The sequence below is a fragment of the Homo sapiens genome, chromosome 8, assembly GCF_000001405.40.
Source record: "Homo sapiens chromosome 8, GRCh38.p14 Primary Assembly".
NCBI classification, from domain to species: domain Eukaryota; kingdom Metazoa; phylum Chordata; class Mammalia; order Primates; family Hominidae; genus Homo; species Homo sapiens.
Window position 1 is genome coordinate 144,771,997 of NC_000008.11, and position 20,549 is coordinate 144,792,545.

The 20,549-nt window shown below is 51.5% G+C and overlaps 2 protein-coding genes, 1 non-coding gene and 1 pseudogene across 22 annotated transcripts, besides 6 other annotated features; 1 reads left to right on the forward strand and 3 right to left on the reverse strand.

Moving 5' to 3' along the window:
- Positions 1–227: 227 nt before the first annotated feature.
- ZNF34 (zinc finger protein 34) lies at positions 228–15,321 on the reverse strand. Of its 17 annotated transcripts, XM_047422269.1 has the most exons (8): positions 15,283–15,321; positions 13,729–13,803; positions 9,831–9,877; positions 8,236–8,284; positions 6,443–6,529; positions 6,042–6,168; positions 5,462–5,581; positions 228–2,609 (listed from the first exon to the last, which is right to left on the reverse strand). In XM_047422269.1, exons 4-8 carry the CDS (start codon positions 8,242–8,244, stop codon positions 1,270–1,272), a joined length of 1,683 nt encoding a protein of 560 aa, XP_047278225.1. In that variant the 5' UTR covers positions 8,245–8,284; positions 9,831–9,877; positions 13,729–13,803; positions 15,283–15,321; the 3' UTR covers positions 228–1,269. The 17 variants fall into 17 exon arrangements, with proteins under 17 accessions (XP_047278225.1, XP_047278226.1, NP_001364956.1 ...); XM_047422270.1 differs by lacking the exon at positions 13,729–13,803; NM_001378027.1 differs by lacking the exon at positions 13,729–13,803 and having other exon boundaries at positions 8,232–8,284.
- Positions 13,302–13,592, forward strand: RN7SL395P (RNA, 7SL, cytoplasmic 395, pseudogene; annotated as a pseudogene).
- Positions 15,050–15,409: a silencer, noted in NCBI's record as "silent region_19708". NCBI's record gives its function as "represses an Ori minimal core promoter by ATAC-STARR-seq in GM12878 lymphoblastoid cells {active_cell/tissue: GM12878}" and the evidence as "EXISTENCE:reporter gene assay evidence [ECO:0000049][PMID:35858748]".
- Positions 15,560–15,789: an enhancer, noted in NCBI's record as "active region_28102". NCBI's record gives its function as "activates an Ori minimal core promoter by ATAC-STARR-seq in GM12878 lymphoblastoid cells {active_cell/tissue: GM12878}" and the evidence as "EXISTENCE:reporter gene assay evidence [ECO:0000049][PMID:35858748]".
- Positions 15,830–15,889: an enhancer, noted in NCBI's record as "active region_28103". NCBI's record gives its function as "activates an Ori minimal core promoter by ATAC-STARR-seq in GM12878 lymphoblastoid cells {active_cell/tissue: GM12878}" and the evidence as "EXISTENCE:reporter gene assay evidence [ECO:0000049][PMID:35858748]".
- RPL8 (ribosomal protein L8) lies at positions 17,773–20,394 on the reverse strand. 4 transcript variants are annotated; one of them, NM_000973.5, is made up of 6 exons: positions 20,370–20,394; positions 19,996–20,144; positions 19,777–19,918; positions 19,281–19,499; positions 18,359–18,474; positions 17,773–17,966 (listed from the first exon to the last, which is right to left on the reverse strand). In NM_000973.5, exons 2-6 carry the CDS (start codon positions 20,131–20,133, stop codon positions 17,808–17,810), a joined length of 774 nt encoding a protein of 257 aa, NP_000964.1. In that variant the 5' UTR covers positions 20,134–20,144; positions 20,370–20,394; the 3' UTR covers positions 17,773–17,807. The 4 variants fall into 4 exon arrangements, with proteins under 4 accessions (NP_000964.1, NP_001304700.1, NP_150644.1 ...); NM_001317771.2 differs by having other exon boundaries at positions 20,270–20,394; NM_033301.3 differs by having other exon boundaries at positions 20,249–20,394.
- Positions 18,072–18,573: an enhancer, noted in NCBI's record as "H3K4me1 hESC enhancer chr8:146015453-146015954 (GRCh37/hg19 assembly coordinates)". NCBI's record gives its function as "activates a minimal SCP1, AML or CMV promoter by ChIP-STARR-seq in naive H9 embryonic stem cells {active_cell/tissue: H9 hESC(naive)}" and the evidence as "EXISTENCE:reporter gene assay evidence [ECO:0000049][PMID:30033119]".
- Positions 18,574–19,073: an enhancer, noted in NCBI's record as "H3K4me1 hESC enhancer chr8:146015955-146016454 (GRCh37/hg19 assembly coordinates)". NCBI's record gives its function as "activates a minimal SCP1, AML or CMV promoter by ChIP-STARR-seq in primed H9 embryonic stem cells {active_cell/tissue: H9 hESC(primed)}" and the evidence as "EXISTENCE:reporter gene assay evidence [ECO:0000049][PMID:30033119]".
- Positions 19,935–19,995, reverse strand: MIR6850 (microRNA 6850). The gene has a single exon (NR_106909.1). It is a non-coding gene; the product is annotated as a microRNA 6850 (primary transcript).
- Positions 20,096–20,315: a silencer, noted in NCBI's record as "silent region_19709". NCBI's record gives its function as "represses an Ori minimal core promoter by ATAC-STARR-seq in GM12878 lymphoblastoid cells {active_cell/tissue: GM12878}" and the evidence as "EXISTENCE:reporter gene assay evidence [ECO:0000049][PMID:35858748]".

The following is a 20,549-nucleotide window of genomic DNA, read 5'->3' on the forward strand; positions in this document are numbered from 1 at the left end:
TGCGCCTATGGTCCCAGCTACTCAAGAGGGTGAGGTGAAAGAGTTGCTTGAACCTGGGAGGGTGAAGTTGCAGAGCCAAGATCATGCCATTGCACTCCAGCCTGGGTGAGTAAGACCCGGTCTCAAAAAAAAAAAAAGTAATGGAGTTCTGAAACAGGAAACAACACAGAGAAACCTTGAAAACATTATGCTGAATGAACTAAGCCAGACATAGAAAGAAACACAGATTGCATGATTCCACACATATTTATGTTCCTAGAATAGGCAAATTCAAAGAGACAGAAAATAGAATTGAGGTTACCAGCAGTAGGGAGAAGGGGGAAATGAAGAGTTATTATTTAATAGGTACAGGGTTTCTGTTTGGAGTAATAAAACAGTTCTGGAAATACACAGTGATGATGGTTACACAACACCATGAATGTACTTAATGCCACTGAATTGTACACTTAAAAATGGTTAAAATTGTAAATTTCATATTATGTTATTTCACCACAGTTAAAGGCAACTTCAACTCTATTGACATAAAAAGTATGAATGTTAAGTTTGTTTCATTTATTTTTTGAGACAGCGTCTCGCTCTGTCACCCAGGCTGGAGTACAGTGGCACAGTCTTGGCTCACTGCAACCTCCGCCTCCCAGGTTCAAGCAATGCTCCTGCCTCAGCCTCCCGAGTAGCTGGGATTACAGGCACCCACCACCACACCTGGCTAATTTTTGTATTTTTAGTAGAGACGGGGTTTCACCATGTTGGCCAGGCTGGTCTCAAACTCCTGACCTCAAGTGATCCACCCACCTTGGCCTCTCAAAATGCTGGTATTACAGGCATGAGCCACCACACCTGGCCGATGCTTTTAAATTTACAATATGTAAAAATGTTAAAATATATGGTGCTCTCTTCAGTGTGAATTTTCTGATATTGAGGAAATAGCAAAAGTGAAGATCCTAGGTGCTGCAATGACAAGCATTACGGTATTTTCTTTTTAAAATGCTCTCCAGTATGTCTCGAAAATATTCGTAAATCAGCAGCAATGAATTTTTTTTCTAAGTGGGAGAGATCACAGAAGCTTCTTTTTTGCCCACTTTTCTGTCTCAATTTCTCTAAAATGAACATGCACTGCTTTTGATTTAAGAAAAGAGGTTTGTTTAATGAGAAACGTCCTTTCACTCTGTGAAAACATCGTGTGGATAATACATAAAGGGCAGAGTCAGGTGCCGGGGGCGCATGCAGGAAGTGCTCAGCTGGACTCTGCCCTCGGACACCGCGCCACTGTTACATGGAGAAGTCCTCCCGGAGGTGAATCCGCTGATGCTGACACATGTTGGAACTGTGCCGGAAGGCCTTCCCACACTCGCTGCACTTGTAGGGCTTCTCCCCGGTGTGGATCCTCCGGTGCTGAATCAAGTACGTGCTCTGGCTGAAGGCTTTCTTGCAATCGCTGCATCTGTAGGGTTTCTCTCCGTGGTGCAGCCTCTGGTGGTGGATGAGTCTGGAACTGTTGTGGAAGGCCTTCCCACACTCGCTGCACTTGTAGGGCTTCTCTCCTGTGTGGATTCTCTGGTGCTGGATGAGGTGTGTGCTTTGGCTGAAAACTTTGCCACAGTCATTGCATTCATAGGGCTTCTCTCCAGTGTGGCTTCTCTGATGTTCCACGAGTTTGGTTTTTTGAATGAAAGCTTTCTCACATTCATTACATTTATAGGGTTTCTCTCCAGTGTGAATTCTCTGATGTTGGATAAGGTTAGAACTTTGTGTAAAGCCTTTGCCACATTCCTTGCACTCAAATGGCTTCTCTCCGGTGTGAGTCCGACGATGTCGGATAAGGATTGAGCCATCACTGAAGGCTTTCCCGCAGTCATTACATTTATAGGGTTTCTCTCCGGTGTGGATTCTCTGGTGATAAATCAGGGAAGAGTAGGCGCTAAAGTGCTTCCCACACTCCCCACACTTGTAGGGTTTCTCCCCAGTGTGAATCCTCTGGTGCTTCATGAGGTTGGGCCTCCGGGTGAATGTCTTCCCACACTCGTCACACCGGTAGGGAATCTCTCCTGAGTGCATCCTTCGGTGATTGATGAACTCGCAGCTCTGGCTGAAGGCTTTCCCACACTCATCACATTTGTAGGGCTTCTCTTCAGTGTGAAGCCGCTGATGCTTGACAAGGTTGGCACTGTACCTGAATGTTTTCCCACAGTAACTGCAATAATGCAATTTTTTCCCAGTAGGAATTTTCTGATCTTCTTTAACAACTAAGTTTGCACTGAAGATTTCCCCAGAGTTACGAACTGTATTTGTTTTTTTTGACCTGTGTACACGCTTATGGTTGTTGAGATATGATCTCTGTTCAAAACTTTGCTCACATATATCACATTTGTGAGGTCTCTGATCAGGAACAGGTCTTGACAGCAACCTGAGGTTTCCCCCAGACTCCCTGCTGCTCTCCCCGTTGGTCAGTGTGACTGCCCTGGGGCCTCTCTGCTCCACTAGCTTTTCCAGGCTCCCCTCTGACTTACTGATGTGGTCACAGGCTTCTACTGGCTCAGATCCCTGGGGATCTTCCTCACCAAATGTCTCCTGTGAAGTCAACTCCTTGTACTCAGTTCTGGTCCCAAGAGCTGAAACAAAAAACAGAACATCTAAGGGTCACCTGCTCTGACTCTGGAAGGTAGGCATGAGATGCTGCTGGCCACCTGTGGGGAACCAATTTGATCATCTCCAAAGTCCCAACAGCCTTGCAAAGATAAGAGCCTGGAGCTCAGAGGCTTATGCAGCTCACCTGGGGCCACAGTCATACAGCCCTTCAAACATTCACTCCTTCCTTCCTTGATTTGACACTCACACAACAAACCTCTCCTGGGTGGCCACTCCCCAAGAATGGAGAGTGACAAGTACCCAAGTGGGGTCCTGCCACATGGCCGCTCAGAGACTGATACCAGCAGCCACAGTCAGGATTGATTAGTCCTGGCCCCTACTTGCCAGCTGAGTCACCTGAGGCAACAACTCACCTACCTTTCTGAGCCTTGGTTTCTCCATCTGTGACCACATGGCACTCTCATGAGAACAAAACAGATTAATACAACAGACTGACCATGAAGCACTCAGCCCAGTGCCCAGCACAGTGAGTTCCAGGTGCAAGCACCTCATGACTGCCACTTTCATTACTGCTCTCTTCCTAGTCCTAAGGGGTCTATCCTTCCACCCCTTGCCTGGCTCTGCACTGCACATGAACAGGTGCTGAACACCAATATCTGCCAAGATGTGCAGCAGACGGTGCTCACACACTACTACAGGAGCCTATGCTGGAGCTGCTGCTTTGGAGGACGGCTTGGCAACCTTATCTAAAGCTGATCTATGAAAATGCTGACTCAGTGACTCTGCTCCCAGGTACACACGCGCCAGAAATGTATTCCGGGCGCCAGAGAGAGACATGCACAAGAGTGTCCACAGCAGTTCCTGTACAACCCCAAACCTGGACAACTGAATGTCCTCCACAAGTAGAAGGGAACATAAGTTGTGGTGTGTTCATACAATAGAACAATGGCAACCAAACAGACCACACTGCTACTCCATGAAACACAAGCAGCTCTCACAGTGTTCAGCAAAAGATGCCCTGTGTGAGTCTACACAGAAAAATCCAAAGGAGGAAGCAGCCTCTTGTGACAGGAGTCAGAAAGAAGACCCCTGTGGGGAGCAGTGGGAAATGGCAGAGGAGAGCCAGGGAGCTCCTGGGGAGCGGAAACAGTCTGTATTTTAATCTGAAGGATGATTTTTCATAAAAATTCACTGAGTTATAAACTTAGGGTTTGTCCTATTTCTATAGATATTTACATTCAAATAAGCAAATTTACAAAATAAGAAGTCCTTTGAGCCAGCAGTTCCTTCCTCAGACACCATCAGACACATGCAAAAAGGTGACCATCAGAGCTATCCAATCTTTTGGCCTGCACTTGCACTGAAGACATGACTGAGACTCATGCGCACAGAAATGGAAACACATTCCGTGTCTGCACAGCAGAACACACTATCATTTCTGTTAAGAAGCAGTGTCAGCCAGGCACAGTGGCTGTAATCCCAGCACTTTGGGAGGCCAAGGCAGGCGGATCACAAGGTCAGGAGCTTGAGACCAGCCTGGCCAATACGGTGTAACCCCGTCTCTATTAAAAATACAAAAATTAGCCAGGCATGGTGGCGTGCACCTGTAGTCCCAGCTACTGGGGAGGCTGAGGCAAAAGAATTGCTTGAACCTGGGAGGCAGAGGTTGCAGTGAGCCGAGATCACACCACTGCCCTCCAGCCTGGGCAACAGAGCAAGACTCTGTCTCAAAAAAAAAAAAAAAGAATGGCTCACACCTATAATCCCAGTACTTTGGGAGGCCAAGGTGGGAGGATCGCTTGAGCCCAGGGGTTTGAGACCAGCCTGGTCAACACAGTGAAACCCTGTCTCTACTAAAAATACAAAAATTAGCCAGGCATGGCGGCAGGCACCTGTAGTCCCAGCTACTCAGGAGGCTGAGGCAGAATCGCTTGAAACCAGGAGGTGGAGGTTGCAGTGAACTAAGATTGCGCCACTGCACTCCAGCCTGGGTGACAGAGCGAGACTCTGTCTCAAAAAATAAAAAAGCAACAGCATCTGAGCCAGGTGCAGTGGCAGTGGCTCACACTTTAACTCCAGAACTTTGGAAGGCCAAGGCGAGAGGATCGCTTGAGCCTAGGAGTTCGAGACAAGCCTGGGCAACACAGTGAAACCTCGTCTCTGTAAAAAAATCAAAAAATTAGTGTGAGTGACACATGACATGCCTGTGGTCCCAGCTACTCGGGAGGCTGAGATGGGAGGATCGCTTAAGTGCAGAAGGTCAAGGCTGCAGTGAGCCATGATCATACCACTGCACTCCAGCCTGGGTGATAGAGGGCGACCCTGTCTCAAAAAAAAAAAAAAAAAAAAGCAGTGTCAGTACATAACAGTGGAAAGGCCAGTGCTAGAAAAGGAATAGCAGAAATATACTACAACACAACTATGTCTGGGTAGTGAGATTCAGGGTGATGTGTAGTCTCTCACTTTTCCGCAGTGTATTAATTTAGAAGAGAGGGGAATTAAATGATAGCTCCATCATTAGGCCCTCATTATCTGGCATCAGCTCTGGAGCGCAGGGTTCTGTGGGGTTCCGCAGACCCTAACAGCACCCCTGTTCTGCACCTACTCACTCCCCTCTACACGGGACCTTGCCTGGAATGTCCATTCCTATTTTCCACAGAAATGCTGCCCTGGAGAGATTCTGCTCAATAATCTCCCCACCAAGGTGCCCAGACTGAGAGGGGTCACCTGGGCTTCAGCAAAGGCCACTGTCAGGCCTCCTGTGCTAGCCCCGATGAATCTGGCCCACAAACTCCTGATTCATTAATCAGACACCCTGGACCCCAATAAAGGCTCGTTCGGTGACTTGAGTTGGGGAGCAGATCCCCTCACGCACCTGGGCTGTTGACTCTCAGGTGCTCTTTCCCAGAGGTGCCCTGAACATCCAGGACCCAGGGCTCATCCCCTCGCTCCAACTGCGAGATCACTCCAGGCTTGGGGCCTGCAGGTCCTACTCCTGGGAAGGAGACAGGGACTGGGGTTGGTACCAAGGACACAGGGCAGCACCTAGTGCTGTCTCACCCTGGGGCTGCAGGGTAAGGGAGGCACAGGCAGAGGGGGTGATGGAAGCCTGGACACTCTCTGGAGGGCACTGAGATTGGGCTGGGGCAGTCCTGAGCATAAGGGAATGAGAGCTCAGGGGTTCCCTCCACTAGGAGGTATGCAACTCCGCCCCCCCGGTGTCCCCCGCCCTACCAGGGAGGGGTCTGCCTGGGACCTGGGGCGAGAGGGAAGGGAAGGGCTGACTCAGGAAGGTCCCAGCACTGCTCTTCCCCTCATCTTCTCAGATCAGGTGCCTGCCTGGGATAAAGGTCATCACCTATCTGTGCCCAGGGGGTGAGGCCCCTAGCCCAGCCTCTGCTGAGCCCTTAGCCCCCAGGGCTGTTCCCAGAGCTGAGTTCTGGTGAGGGCCTTACCCAGTGAGACTAGGTTCCCGTAGGTCTCCAGCATCACGTCCCTGTAGAGGCCCCTCTGAGCAGGGCCCAGGCGGCCCCATTCCTCCCGGGAGAGGTACACAGCCACGTCCTCGAAGGTCACCTCGGCCTGGAATGACAGGGACTACTGCAGCCCAGGTGTGGTCCAGAGTGGGCTGGTAGGGGCGGGGAGGCAGCAGAAGCATGCTAAAGGCAGCAGCACAGTGGGTGGCCTGACCCATCTGCCACCGAGCCAGCTAATACATCCCAAGGGGTGGCTGCATGGGGGTCTCAGGGCCACCCCTACCATCATGTCAGCATCCCAAACCAGAGACACCTGGCAGTGTTTGCCAAGGAAAGCCCTGGGTAAAAACTTCACTCCTCCCAGGAGGACAGACACTCACCTGGGGTGGGGCAGACAGGAACAAGGCCGCCATTGCCTGAGGGTTGGGCTTTCTGAGGGCAGTGAGCAGGAGCTGGTCACTGAGGAGCTGAGGGAAGAGAACGCAACAAGTGGAGGCCCAGTCTGGCCCCTTCTTCCACAGCTCAGGCTACTTGGTGCTGCCATAAACAGCCCTGCCTGCCTCACTGGTCCACCCCTGCCCATCCCAATGTGGGTACTGCTAGCTGGCCTCCCGGACATAGACTCCACTCTTTGCCTGGGGCTGCCCTCTCCAGCTCCACCTCTTTTTTTTCTTTCTTTTTTTTTTAATGACATGACAGGGTTTCTCTTAGTTGCCCAGGCTAGAGGACAGTGGCGTGATCTCGGCTCACTGCAGCCTCGACCTCCTGAGCTCAAGCAGTTCTCTCACCTCAGCCTCCTGAGTAGCTAGGACTACAGGCGCGCACCACCACTGTTGGTGGAAGAGCTGAGGCAGGACTAGCTTGTCTGCCATAATGTAAAAGAGTCTGGGAACACGTCCTGGGTCCAGGGTCCAAACCCCCTCATGGCCTTTGGAACACCAAGCTCTGTGCCAAAGGGGGGAAGGCTGCCCTGCCGCTCCATAATCTAAGCCAAGGCATAAAAACCCTCATGGCTTGGATGGAATCCAGGGCTCAGGGCACAAAACCCCTTGTGGCTTGGATGGAATCCAGGGCTCAGGGCACAAAACCCCTCGTGGCTTGGATGGAATCCAGGGCTCAGGGCACAAAACCCTCATGGCCTCTGGAATGTGCACAGACTTGTTGGTTCCTTGCTTCTTGCTCTCCCAGGCTCATAAACATGTTCTCCATTATCTCAGGTAGCAGAGCATAGTACATATGTGTCAAAGAAAATGCTAAACCGTCACAGCTACGCTTGATGCACCGCTACCTTTCTATCCCCATGTCCTCATGTCCTCACCTGTCTACCCTCATGTCCGCACATCCTCACCACCTGCTTCTTTGTTCGATCATCAATAAATAGTGTGGGCTCCCAGAGCTTGGTGCCTTCACAGCCTCCATACTAGCGTTGGCCCCCTGGACCCACCTTAAGTACTCTTAACCTGTCTTTTCTCATTCCTTTGACTCCGCTGGACTTCATAGCCCCCATGGCCTGGTGTTGGGTCTGATCACCCCAACAATCACACCTGGCTAATTTTTGTATTTTTTTGTACAGATGGGGTTTTGCCCAGGCTGGTCTTGAACTCTTGAGCTCAAGCAATCCTCTTGCCTCGGCCTCCCAAAGTGCTGGGATTAAAGGAGTGCACCAAAGTGCCCAGCCTCCAGTCACCTCTACTGCCTGCTGCCCTCGGGCCGTCTATCCCCCTCCCTGCTCTGGCATGCTAAGCTGTCTCATTCAGGAGGAAAACGACAATACTCATTCACTTTACATGGAAGAATGAAGACAAAATGTTAAGGGCTAAGGAAGAAAAAATTAAAAATGATAGAAGGGGCCAAGCTCGGTGGCTCACACCTGTAATCCTAGCGCTTTGGGAGGCTGAGGCGGGAGGACAGCTTGAGCCCAGGAATTTGAGACAAGCCTGGGCAACATAGGGAGACCTTAATGCTACCAAAAAAAAAAAAAAAAAAAAATTAGCTGGCTGTGATGGCACACACCTGTAGTCCCAGCTACTTGGGAGGCTGAGGTGGGAGGATCACCTGGGCCCAGGAAGTAGAGGCTGCAGTGAGCTGTGATCGCACCACTGCACTCCAGCCTGGGCAACAAAGCAAAACCCTGTCTCAAAATAAATAAGTAAAATAAGATTGACTCACCTACCAGAAGCATGAGACTCTCGGATTAGATACATGTGATGCAACTATTTGGCCTAAAATAAAATAACACAGAAAGGCTAAGTATTAGTTAATATTAGATCAAACACTAGTTAAAATGAAGCTGTGGTAGCTATATATCTTTTCTGTATCTTTAAAGCTTTTTATTTAAGTATATTTTTATCATAAAAGTTGACAAATCCTGAGTACACAGTTCAGTGGACCATGACAAATTGCACAAGCCCATGGAACCAGCACCACAGTCAAGAAAGAACAGAACTGGCCGGGTGTGGTGGCTCACGCCTGCAATCCCAGCACTTTGGGAGGCTGAGGCGGGTGGATCACCTGAGGTCAGGAGTTCGAGACCAGCCTGGCCACCATGTGGTGAAACCCTGTCTCTACTAAAATACAAAAATTAGCCGGGCGTGGTGGCGGGCTCCTGTAATCCCAGCTACTCAGGAGGCTGAGGCAGGAGAATCGCTTGAACCCGGGAGGCGGAGGTTGTAGTGAGCCGAGATCGCGCCATCGCACTCCAGCCTGGGGGACAAGAGCAAGACTTCATCTCCAAAAAAAGAAAAGCAAAGAAAGCGAAAATCACTAATAGGAATAAAAAAAACACTGCATATTACTGGCCAGGCGTGGTTGCTCACCCCTGAAATCCCAACACTTCGGGTGGCTGAGGCGGGTGGATGGCGAGGTCAGGAGATCGAGACCATCCTGGCTGACGGTGAAACCCTGTCTCTACCGAAAATACAAAAAAAATTAGCCGGGCGTGGTGGCGGGGGCCTATAGTCCCAGCTACTTGGGAGGCTGAGGCAGGAGAATGGTGTGAACCGGGAGGCAGAGCTTGCAGTGAGCTGAGATCGCACCACTGCACTCCAGCCTGGGCGACAGAGCGAGACTCCATCTCAAATAAATAAATAAATAAATAAATAAATAAAAATAAAAATAAAACACTGCATATTACTAAAAGCCCACCAAAAAGCTGTAATAATTACAAACAGTATGGATCTACCAAACAGGAACTGGTAAATCCTCCTCTGGAGTGAGTTTTTTTTTTTTTAGACGGAGTCTTACTCTGTCGCCCAGGCTAGAGTACAGTGGCGCGATCTTGGCTCACTGCAAGCTCTGCCTCCCGGGTTCACGCCATTCTCCTGCCTCAGCCTCCCAAGTAGCTGGGACCACAGGTGCGTTTAATTTTTTTTGTATTTTTAGTAGAGACGGAGTTTCACCGTGCTGGCCAGGATGGTCTTGATCTCCTGACCTTGTGATCTGCCCGCCTTGGCCTCCCAAAGTGCTGGGATTACAGGCAGGAGCCACCATGACCAGTCGAGATTTTTAACATACTTCCCTCAGAAACAAGTGGGTCAAGTAAACAATCTCATGCTTAAAACATAGAGAACACACATTGTTTTCAACATACTGAACATTACCAAAAAAAACAAAGCAACAGAGAAAGTTTCAACAAATCCCAAAAGAATATATCATTTGGCAAAACAATTTCTATCCATATTGTTGTTATATTAGAAATATATGAAAAGTAACCCTCTCCCCAGAGACATATAGAAATGGAAACTAAAGTGGAAATAGAACCAAGCCTACCTAAAGAAAATTGTGCATCCTTAATAGACTCATTTTAACAGGAAAGCCTGAAATAAATAAGTATTCAGCAAGAAATCAAATGCAGGCTGTGGCTCACGTCTATAATCCCAGCACTTTGGGAGGCCGAGGCGGGTGGATCACTTGAGGTCAGGAGTTCGAGACCAGCCTGGCCAACATGGTGAAACCCCATCTCTCCTAAAAAATACACAACTTGGGGCTGGGCGCAGTGGCTCACGCCTGTAATCCCAGCACTTTGGGAGGCTGAGGCGGGTGGATCACGAGGTCAAGAGATCAAGACCATCCTGGCCAACTTGGTGAAACCCCGTCTCTACTAAAAATATAAAAATTAGCTGGGCATGGTGGTGGGCACCTGTAATCCCAGCTACTCGGGAGGCTGAGGCAGGAGAATCACTGGAAACTGGGAGGCAGAGGTTACAGTGAGCCGAGATCGCACCACTGCACTCCAGCCTGGCCACAGAGTGAGACTCCGACACAAAACAAAACAAAACAAAACTTAGCCGGGCATGGTGGCGTGAACCTGTAATCCCAGTAACTTGGGAGACTGGGGCAGGAGGATCACTTGAATTCGGGAGGTGGAGGTTGCAGTGAGTTGAGATTACATCACTGCACATTCCAGTCTGGGCGACAGAGTGAGACTCTGTCCAAAAACAAAAAACAAAAAACAAAAGAAAAGAAATCAGATACAGAATAAGAAAGTAACTCAAGGAGGGCCGGGCACGGTGGCTCACGGCTGTAATCCCAGCACTTTGGGAGGCCAGGGCAGGTGGATCTCTTGAGCCCAGGAGTTCAAGACCAGCCTGTGCAACATGGCAAAACCCCTCTCTACAAAAAATACAAAAATTAGCCAGGCATGGTGGCATGTGCCTGTAGTCCCAGCTACTTGGGAGGCTGAGGTGGGAGGATCGCTTGAGCCCAGGAGGCAGAAGCTGCAGTGAATCAAGATCGTACCACTGCACTCCAGCTGGGGTGACAGAGACAGAACCAAAGCCTATCTCAAAAAAAAAAAAAAAAAAAAAAAAAAAAAAAAAGAAAAGAAAATAGATGGAAAAGTAGAAAAGGAAATGTTATCAGGAACAAAAAAGGAAAGAGTGTATATTTAGGGCAATTTGAATCTATGCTCCCAGGTTAAAATAAAACCATTTTAAATAGATTAAAAAAAAAGAGCAAAAGGCCAGGTGTGGTTGGCTCATGCCTGTAATCCCCATACTTTGGGAGGCCAAGGCGGGAAGATGGCTTGAACCCAGGAGTTCAAGCTCAGCCTGTCTCTACAAAAAATAAAAAAAATTAGCACGGATTGGTGGCACATGCCTGTAGTCCCAGCTACTTGGGAGGCTGAGGTGGGAGGATCACTTGACCCTGGGAAGCATAGCAGTAGTTCTCAGAGTGTGGCTCAGGGACCCTGGGGTTCCATGCATTCAAGTTTGTGTTCGCAACACTAAGAGGACACATTAGAAGCACTTGTAGTAGATTCAGTGACAAGAGAGGGACGTTCCCTCACCCTGCTGCTATTCAACATCCTAGCCAAAGCAGTAAGTTACAGAAAAAAGAAATATAAGCTACAAGGATCAGAAGAAAAAAGACAAAATCATCATTCTTTGAGAATGATAAAAATAATCTACATAGAAAATCCAAGAGTTATCAATCCACTGTTGGAATGACAGGAGTTCCACAGCATTGCCATATACAAGGTCAACAGAGAATAATTAATACCACTTCTATTTGTCAGCAATCAGCAACCGAAAACTGACCATTCACAATAGCTACAAAAACTATACAGTACATTAAGTCTTAAAAAAAGATATGTATGTAATGAACAACATTATAAAACTTTATTGAAGTACCTTAGAAAGGTCTATGGAGAAACAGACAATGTTTCTAAATAGGAGGGCTCAATAACATAAAGATATCAATTATCCCCAAGTTAAATTTATTTTGTGCAATTATAATAAACATTTCAACAGGACATGATATCTGACCAAAATGACTCCAAATATCACATGAAATAGTAACGATCTAAGATTAGCCAAGGCAGTGTGGCCAGGCGCAGTGGCTCACGCCTATAATCCCAGCACTTTGGGAGGCCAAGGCGGGAGGATCACGAGGTCAGATCGAGACCATCCTGGCTAACATGGTGAAACCCCATCTCTACTAACAATATAAAATTAGCCCGGCCATGGTGGCAGGCGCCTGTAGTCCCAGCTACTCGGGAGGCTGAGGCAGGAGAATGGCGCGAACCCGGGAGGCGGAGGTTACAGTGAGCCGAGATCACACCACTGCACTCCATCGTGGGTGACAGAGCGAGACTACGTCTCCAGAAAAAAAAAAAAAAAGATTAGCTAAGGCAATACCAAAAAAACAACCAAAGGAGGCAAGGGTGTGCCCTACTAGATATCAAGACTTAGGCTATGGTAATGGAAAGTGAAGTTTAAGTATAGGAAAAAAGATAATGGAAGACATCTATGGATATGTTAATATACCTGCAATATTAATGGCAATGAAGAAGGACAATAAATGGTATTGGCACAACTGGTTTTCCATTGGAAAATAAAATTAGTTTCCTGCCTTCTGTGGTACACAAATATACTTCAGGCAGGTTGAAGACCTAAACATTAAAAAAAAAAAAAAAAAAAGGTCGGGCACGGTGACTCACGCCTGTAATCCCAGCACTTTGGGAGGCCGAGGTGAGTGGATCACAAGGTCAAGAGTTCAAGACCAGCCTAGCTAAGATGGTGAAACACTGTCTCTACTAAAAATACAAAAATTAGCCGGGCGTGGTGGCGGGCACCTGTAATCCCAGCTACTCAGGAGGCTGAAGTAGGAGAATCGCTTGAACCCGGGAGGCGGAGGTTGCAGTGAGCCAAGATCACGCCACTGCACTCCAGCCTGGGTGACAGAGCAAGACTCTGTCTCAAAAAAATAAATAGAAATAAAAATAAATAAACAATAAAAGCCTATAAAGAAAAAGATTGTTTGATTCCATCAAAAAGAAAAAAGGCCAGGCATGGTAGCTCACACCTGTAATCTCAGTGCTTTGGGAGGCCGAGGTGGCCAGATTGCTTGAGCTCAGGAGTAGGAAACCAGCCTGGGTAACATGGTGAAACCCCAGCTCTACAAAAATTAGCCAACGTGGTGGTGTGAGCCTGTGGTTCCAGTCAAAACCTCAGGTGGCTGAGGTAGAAGAATCGTTTGAGAGTGGGAGATGGAGGCTGCAGGGAGCCAAGATGGTGTCACTGCACTCCAGCCTTAGCCAGACCCTGCCAAAAAAAAAAAAAAAAAAAAAAAGAAAAAGGATTCTGTACAAGACACCACAAAGATAAAAGGCAAGCAGACAAGCTGCAGAGTGAAAGATATTTGCAGACACATAACAAAGTATAAATATACAGAATATATTTAAAACATTTTTAAATTAGAAAAATGTCACAATTTTTAATAAATGAACACAGGATATGACCTGGCAAACCCTGTAGTCCCAGCTACTCAGAAGGCTGAGGCAGGAGGATCACTTGAATCTAGGAGTTCTGGGCTGTAGTGCTGCTGTGCCAATTGGGTGTCCCCACTAAGTTCGGCATCAATATGGTGACATCCGGGGAGCAGGAGACCACCATATTGCCTAAGGAAGGGTGAATCAGCTCAGGTGGGAAACAGGGCAGGTCAAAACTCCTGTGCTGATCAGTAGTGGGATCACGCCTGCGAGTGGCCACTGCACTCTAGCCTGAGCAACATAGTGAGAACCCCATCTCTAATTTTTTAATTAAGAAAAAATGTAAAGTAAAACAAGACTCTCCCCACAGATTGGGGAAATATAAAATACTTCATAATACCAAATGTTCAGAACACTGTAAACTGGTAGACACTCTAGAAATATGTCTGGCCCTACCTGGTAGAACTGAAACCCTGCAAAACTCTCAGTGGGGAAACCCCACTCGAAGTATGTACTTTATGGAGACTCTTGCTAATGCACACAAAAAGAAACACAAAAATGTTACCATGTGCCTGTGTAGAAGAAGAAAAAACTTCAGCGTCCATCAGCAAAGTCAGAGTGGTGGAAAGTAATGTCAAGGAGATAGAGCACAGTTATAAGGCTGAGAAAAACTGTCAGGTACAGAATATACACAGTATAATACATAGGTAGTTTTTTTTTTTTTTTTTTTTTTTGAGACGGAGTCTTGCTCCATCACCCAGGCTGGAGAGCAGTGGCGGGATCTTGGCTCACTGCAAGCTCCGCCTCCCGAGTTGACGTCATTCTCCTGCCTCAGCCTCCCAAGTAGCTGGGACTACAGGCGCCCGCTACCACGCCCGGCTAATTTTTTTGTATTTTTTAGTAGAGACGGGGTTTCACTGGGTTAGCCAGGATGGTCTCGATCTCCAGACCTAGTGATCCCCCCCGCGCCTTGGCCTCCCAAAGTGCTGGGATTGCAGGCGTGAGCCACCGTGCTCTGCCATACATATGTAGATTTTTAAGAGACAAAAACAGTATTAGGTTTGTAGAGATATAAGAAAACGAGGCCGGGCGCAGTGGCTCACGCCTGTATTCCCAGCACTCTGGGAGGCTGGGGCGGGCAGATCACTTGAGGTCAGGAGTTCGAGACCAGCCTGGCCAACATGGTTAAACCCCATCTCTACTAAAAATACAAAAATTAGCTGGGCATGGTGGCGGGCGCCTGTAATCCCAGGTATTCGGGAGGCTGAGACAGGAGAATCCCTTGAACTCGGGAGGCGGAAGGTGCATTGAGCCGAGATCGCGCCATCGTACTCCAGCCTGGGCGACAGAGCGAGACTCCGTCTCAGAAAAAGAGAGAGAGAAAGGAAAGAAGGAAGAGAAGAGAAAAGAAAAGAAAGAAAAAATAAAGAAGAGAAACAAAAATCTGGCTGCCTGGCTGCGGGGAGAAAAGCCTTGGAGCGCCAGAAGCGAGGAGGGTGGGGCGGAGGGAAGGCACAAGCAGAGGGAGGAGCACTGGCGGAGCGCGGACGCTAAAGGCAGGAGGGGCGGCATTCGCAGAGGGCTGGGAGGACCGCGAGACGCACGAGCCCCGCCCCTGAAAAGCTGACAGGAGAGGAGCGTGGGAGGGAGCCGGGATGGGAAGCCTCGGGCCGCTGGGACCAAGGGGTCTGGAGCGCATCGGGACGCAGAAGCCGCTCTGTGCGGCAGGAGTCCAGGGGACCCCGCGTGGGGCAAGGGAGTTGTCAGGGGCTCGAGAGCGGAAGGAGCCCCGTGAGGAGCGACCCCAGGGCTGGCAGAGAGCGGCGAGGCGCAGTCCGTACTCGGGGCCTTGTCCGGGGGGTCCCTCGAACAGGAAGTGCCGCTGATGGCGGGACGGACCCACGCCTGCAGCACCGCGAGAGGACCGGGCACAGGGGCAACGCGCAGGGGAGGGTCTGCGCCGGGAGGGTCTGCGCCCCGCGCGCCCGCCCCCGCCGGGCTCACACTCACCTCAGCGCCGCCGAGCAGCACGGCAGCCCAACCTCGCCCGTTCGGCCCTCCCTCCCCGCCAATCGGAACCGATCCGGAAGTGACGTCAGCCGACTGTCTGGGTCCGAGGCGCCGTCCGGGCCGCTCTGGGAAGCTAGGACGCCGCGTGTCGGCTGCCCACCTCCCTGGCTTGCAGTAAGGCTCCGGGGACCCGCGAATGGCAAAGCCGTAAAGCGGGAATGCTGCCACCGGGTGGCAGTCCGAAGCCACGGCCCAGAGGCCTCAGAACTGGGGCGATGGTCAGAGGCGAAAACATATTAGTCTTTCCCTTTTTCTGAGAAATTCTCTCCCTAATGATGCACGAAAGGCGCCGCAAACAAGAACTAGGCCCTTCGATTTACAGAGAAACGGGAACCGCACCCTTCCTTAGGGCCAAGAAAGGATGCTTACTGGCCAAAGAAGCCTGTCTTGGGTTTAACCTATTGCTCCTCATCCTTAACTCCTGTAAATGGGGCCCAGTGTCCACTCTGGAGAAAGGGTTTTTCGGGTGCCTGAGCTGCTTCTGGAACAAACTTTCCCTCATGGCCGGTCCATCGGCCAAGCCCTGCCGTCCACTTTGCCCAGAAGGGAGCAGAAAAACAGTGACCGCTTATGGCCAAGCTAAGCATCTAGTGCTTTCCCAAAACCCTCTTTCCAGATGCCCCTCCATCCTTCAGGAGGAAACACCGCCCTCCTGGATTCTTTCTCGACAAGTCAGCTGGGACCCTGGGACCGGCCCTGCGAATGACGAGATCAAAACCAGGTCCCGTAGTTACTGGCGGGGAGGCGGGGCTGGAGTGGGAGGACCACATGAGGCCAGGGGCTTGAGACCAGCCTGGCAATAGCGAGAGCCTGTCTAAAATAAACAGGCCCTGCTGGGTCACTGCCTAGGTGTGGTGGGCGCCCAAAGACAGGTGGGGCCATACCAGCAGGATCAGGAAAGCAAGATCACGAAATGGGGGGTAAGGTTCTCTAGAGACAGCGTGGACCATGACAGCCAGGAACCACCGCGCAGCCAGTTAGGACTTGTCATCCCGGAGTGACCACGGAAGCCTAAGGTGACTATTCTCACCTGCCAGGCACCCTCCAACCAAGTCTATAGGGAGAGACCGTGCCTCATCCTGCCTGCTGCAGTTCCACAGGAGTGTTGTTAGGGGCAGTGATCTGCAGCTGCTGCATTCGCTGGTGGAACTTCCTCGTGTGAAAGTGCTGATAGGATGCTGTCCTGGGATCTCCTCATTGGATCATGGTTAAGGGACAAGATGCCATGGGCTATGGCCAAACAGGAAGCCCCTCCACTCTGCCTTGTGACGGAAACCAGCTTACTTGCCCTCCCATTGCAGGGGGGGTTCCCCAACACTTCCAACCTGATTCCACTCAATCATCACTGTCAGCCTCATCACTACCAAAGCTAGAGAGAACCAAAGTATCAGCCCCTGCCAGCAGGGAAAGGCCATGTGCTTTAAGGTAATCAATGCAGCTTTGGGGGCTGTTCCTGGTTAGTTTCTCTGCCCCAGGGAAGAGGGGGCTACATGCCCTGCGAAGCTGTGGAGTTACAGGACTCAAGGAGCAGACCAACCTACTGCTGGTGCCAGCTCCAGTCCAGTGTAGGGCTCTGGGTGGGTGGGTGAAGGGACTTGGGTGGTCTGGGATTCCCCATACACACACTGCATGCATTCATCCCTTTGTTCAGCAATCCCAGCAGTGACCTGGGACCCCACACTCAATCACCACCCTCAACCTCACCTGTCACTATCAGGCTAGAAAATGAGGAAAGGCATGAGGCCCCACCCACCACCCACAGGAAAAAGCACCCAGAACCCTCCAGTCAGTGACCACTCCCCACCATGGCGGGGTGGGAATGCATGCAGAACAGAATGGTAAAAGCCAGGCTAGGAATGGCTTCCTGGCTGTAGACAGGGTGCCTGTCCCACATTCCTTCAGGGCCCATCCCAAGTTCCCAGTGCAAGGCAGACACCTGCAAGCCAGGTATCCCTGGCAGTGACTTAAACACACTGACATCAGCAGGGCTGTAGCCAGTATGGAGGGAAAGGGTGTCGCTAAAAGACCCTGGGCAAAGGACTGCCTCAGGTGCTGAGAAAGTTAGCAGGGAGCTGACAGAGTGAGGGTATGGTCCAGAACACCAGGCTCAACGATTGTGTCCTATTCTGTTTCCTGATACGTGAAATGAGTGTTCACATCCAAGCACTGCAGGCCATGGGACTGAGTCACCCACATAAGTGTCAGGTCCTGGATGCCACATTCTTGGTCCCCTCTGTGGGGAAGCAAGGGTCTTGCCCAGGGTACCTGCACCCCGTTTCTAGTTGTGGACTTTCCCTTCAAGCTTCTACCACTCACTGGTGGTCTACTTCAGTAGTCTAACTCCCTCCCAGTACCAACCAGGGGGATCCCACAGAAATCCTCCCAGCAGGGACCCCTCCCTTTGAAACCATGGGGGTGGGCACAGCCAGGTGGCATAAACACAAACTTTATTGAGGCCCTCAGCACTAGTTCTCTTTCTCCTGCACAGTCTTGGTTCCCCGGAGACGTCCAGTCCGGCGGGCAGCAATGAGACCCACTTTGCGGCCAGCAGGGGCATCTCTGCGGATGGTGGAGGGCTTGCCGATGTGCTGGTGGTTGCCACCTCCAAAAGGATGCTCCACAGGCTGCAGGCAGAGAAAGATGGCTTTAGAAACCTCTTCCCCACCACCCCCGCCCCCGGCCTCGGGGTCCCACCCGTCAGGGGCCCAATTCCGCGAAGCCCCTCTCCACAGCATGTGCCGCTAGACAACCCCAGTCAGGCTGACTCTTTCCAGCTCAGGCCCCCACTGCCCCTCCCAGCCTCCGTTTCTTGCGGAGAAACGGTGAAGGAGGGTGAGCCCACCTCCTTCAGGAGTGCTGGAGCAGGATCAACAGTCCCGTGACTACAAACCACCACCTGCTGCTCCTCCCACCGTAGATCCCCCTCCTGCAGGGACACCTGTGGATGGGACTTGCCTACCCAACAGTGTGGCCACTGTAACTTCAATACCCAACCCTGCATTTCTGGGTTACTTACATTCATGGCCACACCCCGTACTCGTGGCCAGCAGTTCCTCTTTGCCTTATATTTGTGGTACGCCCGGCCAGCCTTCAAGATGGGTTTGTCAATTCGGCCACCTCCAGCCACCACACCTGTAGGGGATCAGATACCTCAGGGAACCCCCAGTCGGTCAGAGCACCCCCACCTCCCCTCAATCTCCTGTCATGCACCTTCCCAATACTGCATCCAACTACCCAGCAAAAAGCCCACTCGCCTCCACCCTAGGGAGCCCCTTGCACCCTGTGAGCTGACATCCAGTTTCTTCAATCCACAATGGGCAGGCAAGCCAAGGCCCTCACCTCCATCACCTAGAATGCTGGCTGAGCTCCAAGCGCAGGGAAGCACCCCCCTCACCATGTGTGAGACGTCAGGCCGGCCACTCAACCTGACGTAAGACACTTGATTCAGCCTGCCCCATCTCAGCTTTACTTATTCCAGGAACACAACCTCAGAGCCTCCCCTGTGCGAGGCTGAGTTCATCACAAGGATTCCAAGATGTTCCCAAACAGCACAGTGAGTTAACCTAGACTCAAATCCTTTTTCACTCACTCAGTAGGCGTCTTTGAGAAAGCCACAATCTCTCCCTGCCTTCTCTAAAAAGGCTGTTAACCAACTGCATGCAAGTGCAGCAATCAGGAAGCCCACGGTAGAATCCAAGACCCTGGTGACTTCGTCCCAATCTCATTTAACGCCTCAACAGCAGTAAAGCAGGTACTGTTGTGCCTGTTGTACAGTGATGACAACTGAGACTACAGGATGAGCTCAAACTTACAGAACCCAAGTTTTAGAACAACAGGTAATCGAATTCCAGGGACCAAGTCTAGCCACTGGCTGTCCACCGGCACTCACAGCATGTTCACCCACAGCCCTCAGCATTCAACTGCTGCCTGATACTCACCAACCACAGCTCTGTTGGCTGAGGAGATAACCTTCTTGGAGCCGGAGGGCAGCTTCACACGGGTCTTCTTGGTCTCAGGGTTGTGGGAGATAACGGTGGCATAGTTCCCTGATGCCCGGGCCAGCTTGCCACGGTCTCCAGGCTTCTCCTCCAGGCAGCACACGATTGTACCCTCAGGCATGGTGCCCACAGGGAGCACATTGCCAATGTTGAGCTGGGCTGCAAGGGGAAGCAGCATCAGGCCGTCAGCACAGTAAGAAACAATGCGAACCCCCTCGCTCTAGGCAACCCGCGAAGTTGCGAGCACAGCATTCAACATCCAGCCTCCCGGTACAACTCTCTCGGCACCCACCGGTGGCCACTGGTCTGGCCACGCGGATGTCCCCACCTGAAGCTTCTGCCTGCGAGGTTCCCATATCGGCTTAGGACGTTAACTCCTCAGGCAACACCCAGACCCCTCCCCACCCCGACCTTCCTTCCCCGCCGCGATGCTAACCCTTCTTGCCGCAATACACAAACTGGCCCGTGTGAATGCCCTCGGCGGCAATGAACAGCTCCGTCCGCTTCTTAAACCGATACGGATCCCGGAAGACCACCTTGGCGAGGGGCGCGCCGCGGCCCGGGTCGTGGATGATGTCCTGTGGGCAGAGGCGGCGTGAGTGCGGCGTTCCGGCCGGGCGTCCCTTCCCCTCCCGCCCCGGCCAGCGTTCCGCACCTTGACGATGCCCTTGATGTAGCCGTGCCGCTCAGCGAAATCCACGGCGCGCAGGCGCGCAGCGCCTTTACGGTGCTTCACGTGCGCGCGGAACACAGACCCGGCGCCCTTCCTCTGTCCACGGATCACACGGCCCATGGCGACGGGTCCTGGGGGCGACTCACGATTAGCGCGGCCGGGCGGCCCGGGTACCCCCGCCAGCCCGGCTTTCCGGGACCCCGCCCCCGAGGCCGCCGCGCCCACCACTCCCTACCCTCTCCGCGGGCGCCCGCACCGGCATCCTCTCAGGAGGGCCGGTCCGGGTCTCAGCGCGCCTCACGGAAGAGGATGGCGGCGGATACTGCCCATGCCGCAAGGCCGCAAGGATGACCTACCTGTTCACCAGCGCGGCCGAAAGAGGAAACACGGCGTCAGCGAGCGGCCTTATCTTCCGGGGCGGGGCCCAGGGCCGCGACACCTTCCGGGCGCGCCACGGCCAGCCTAGCGCGGTGCACGCCGGGGCTTGTAGTCACCAGCGGCCGCCGGCCCCGCCTACTTCTCCTCCTCCAGGGCCC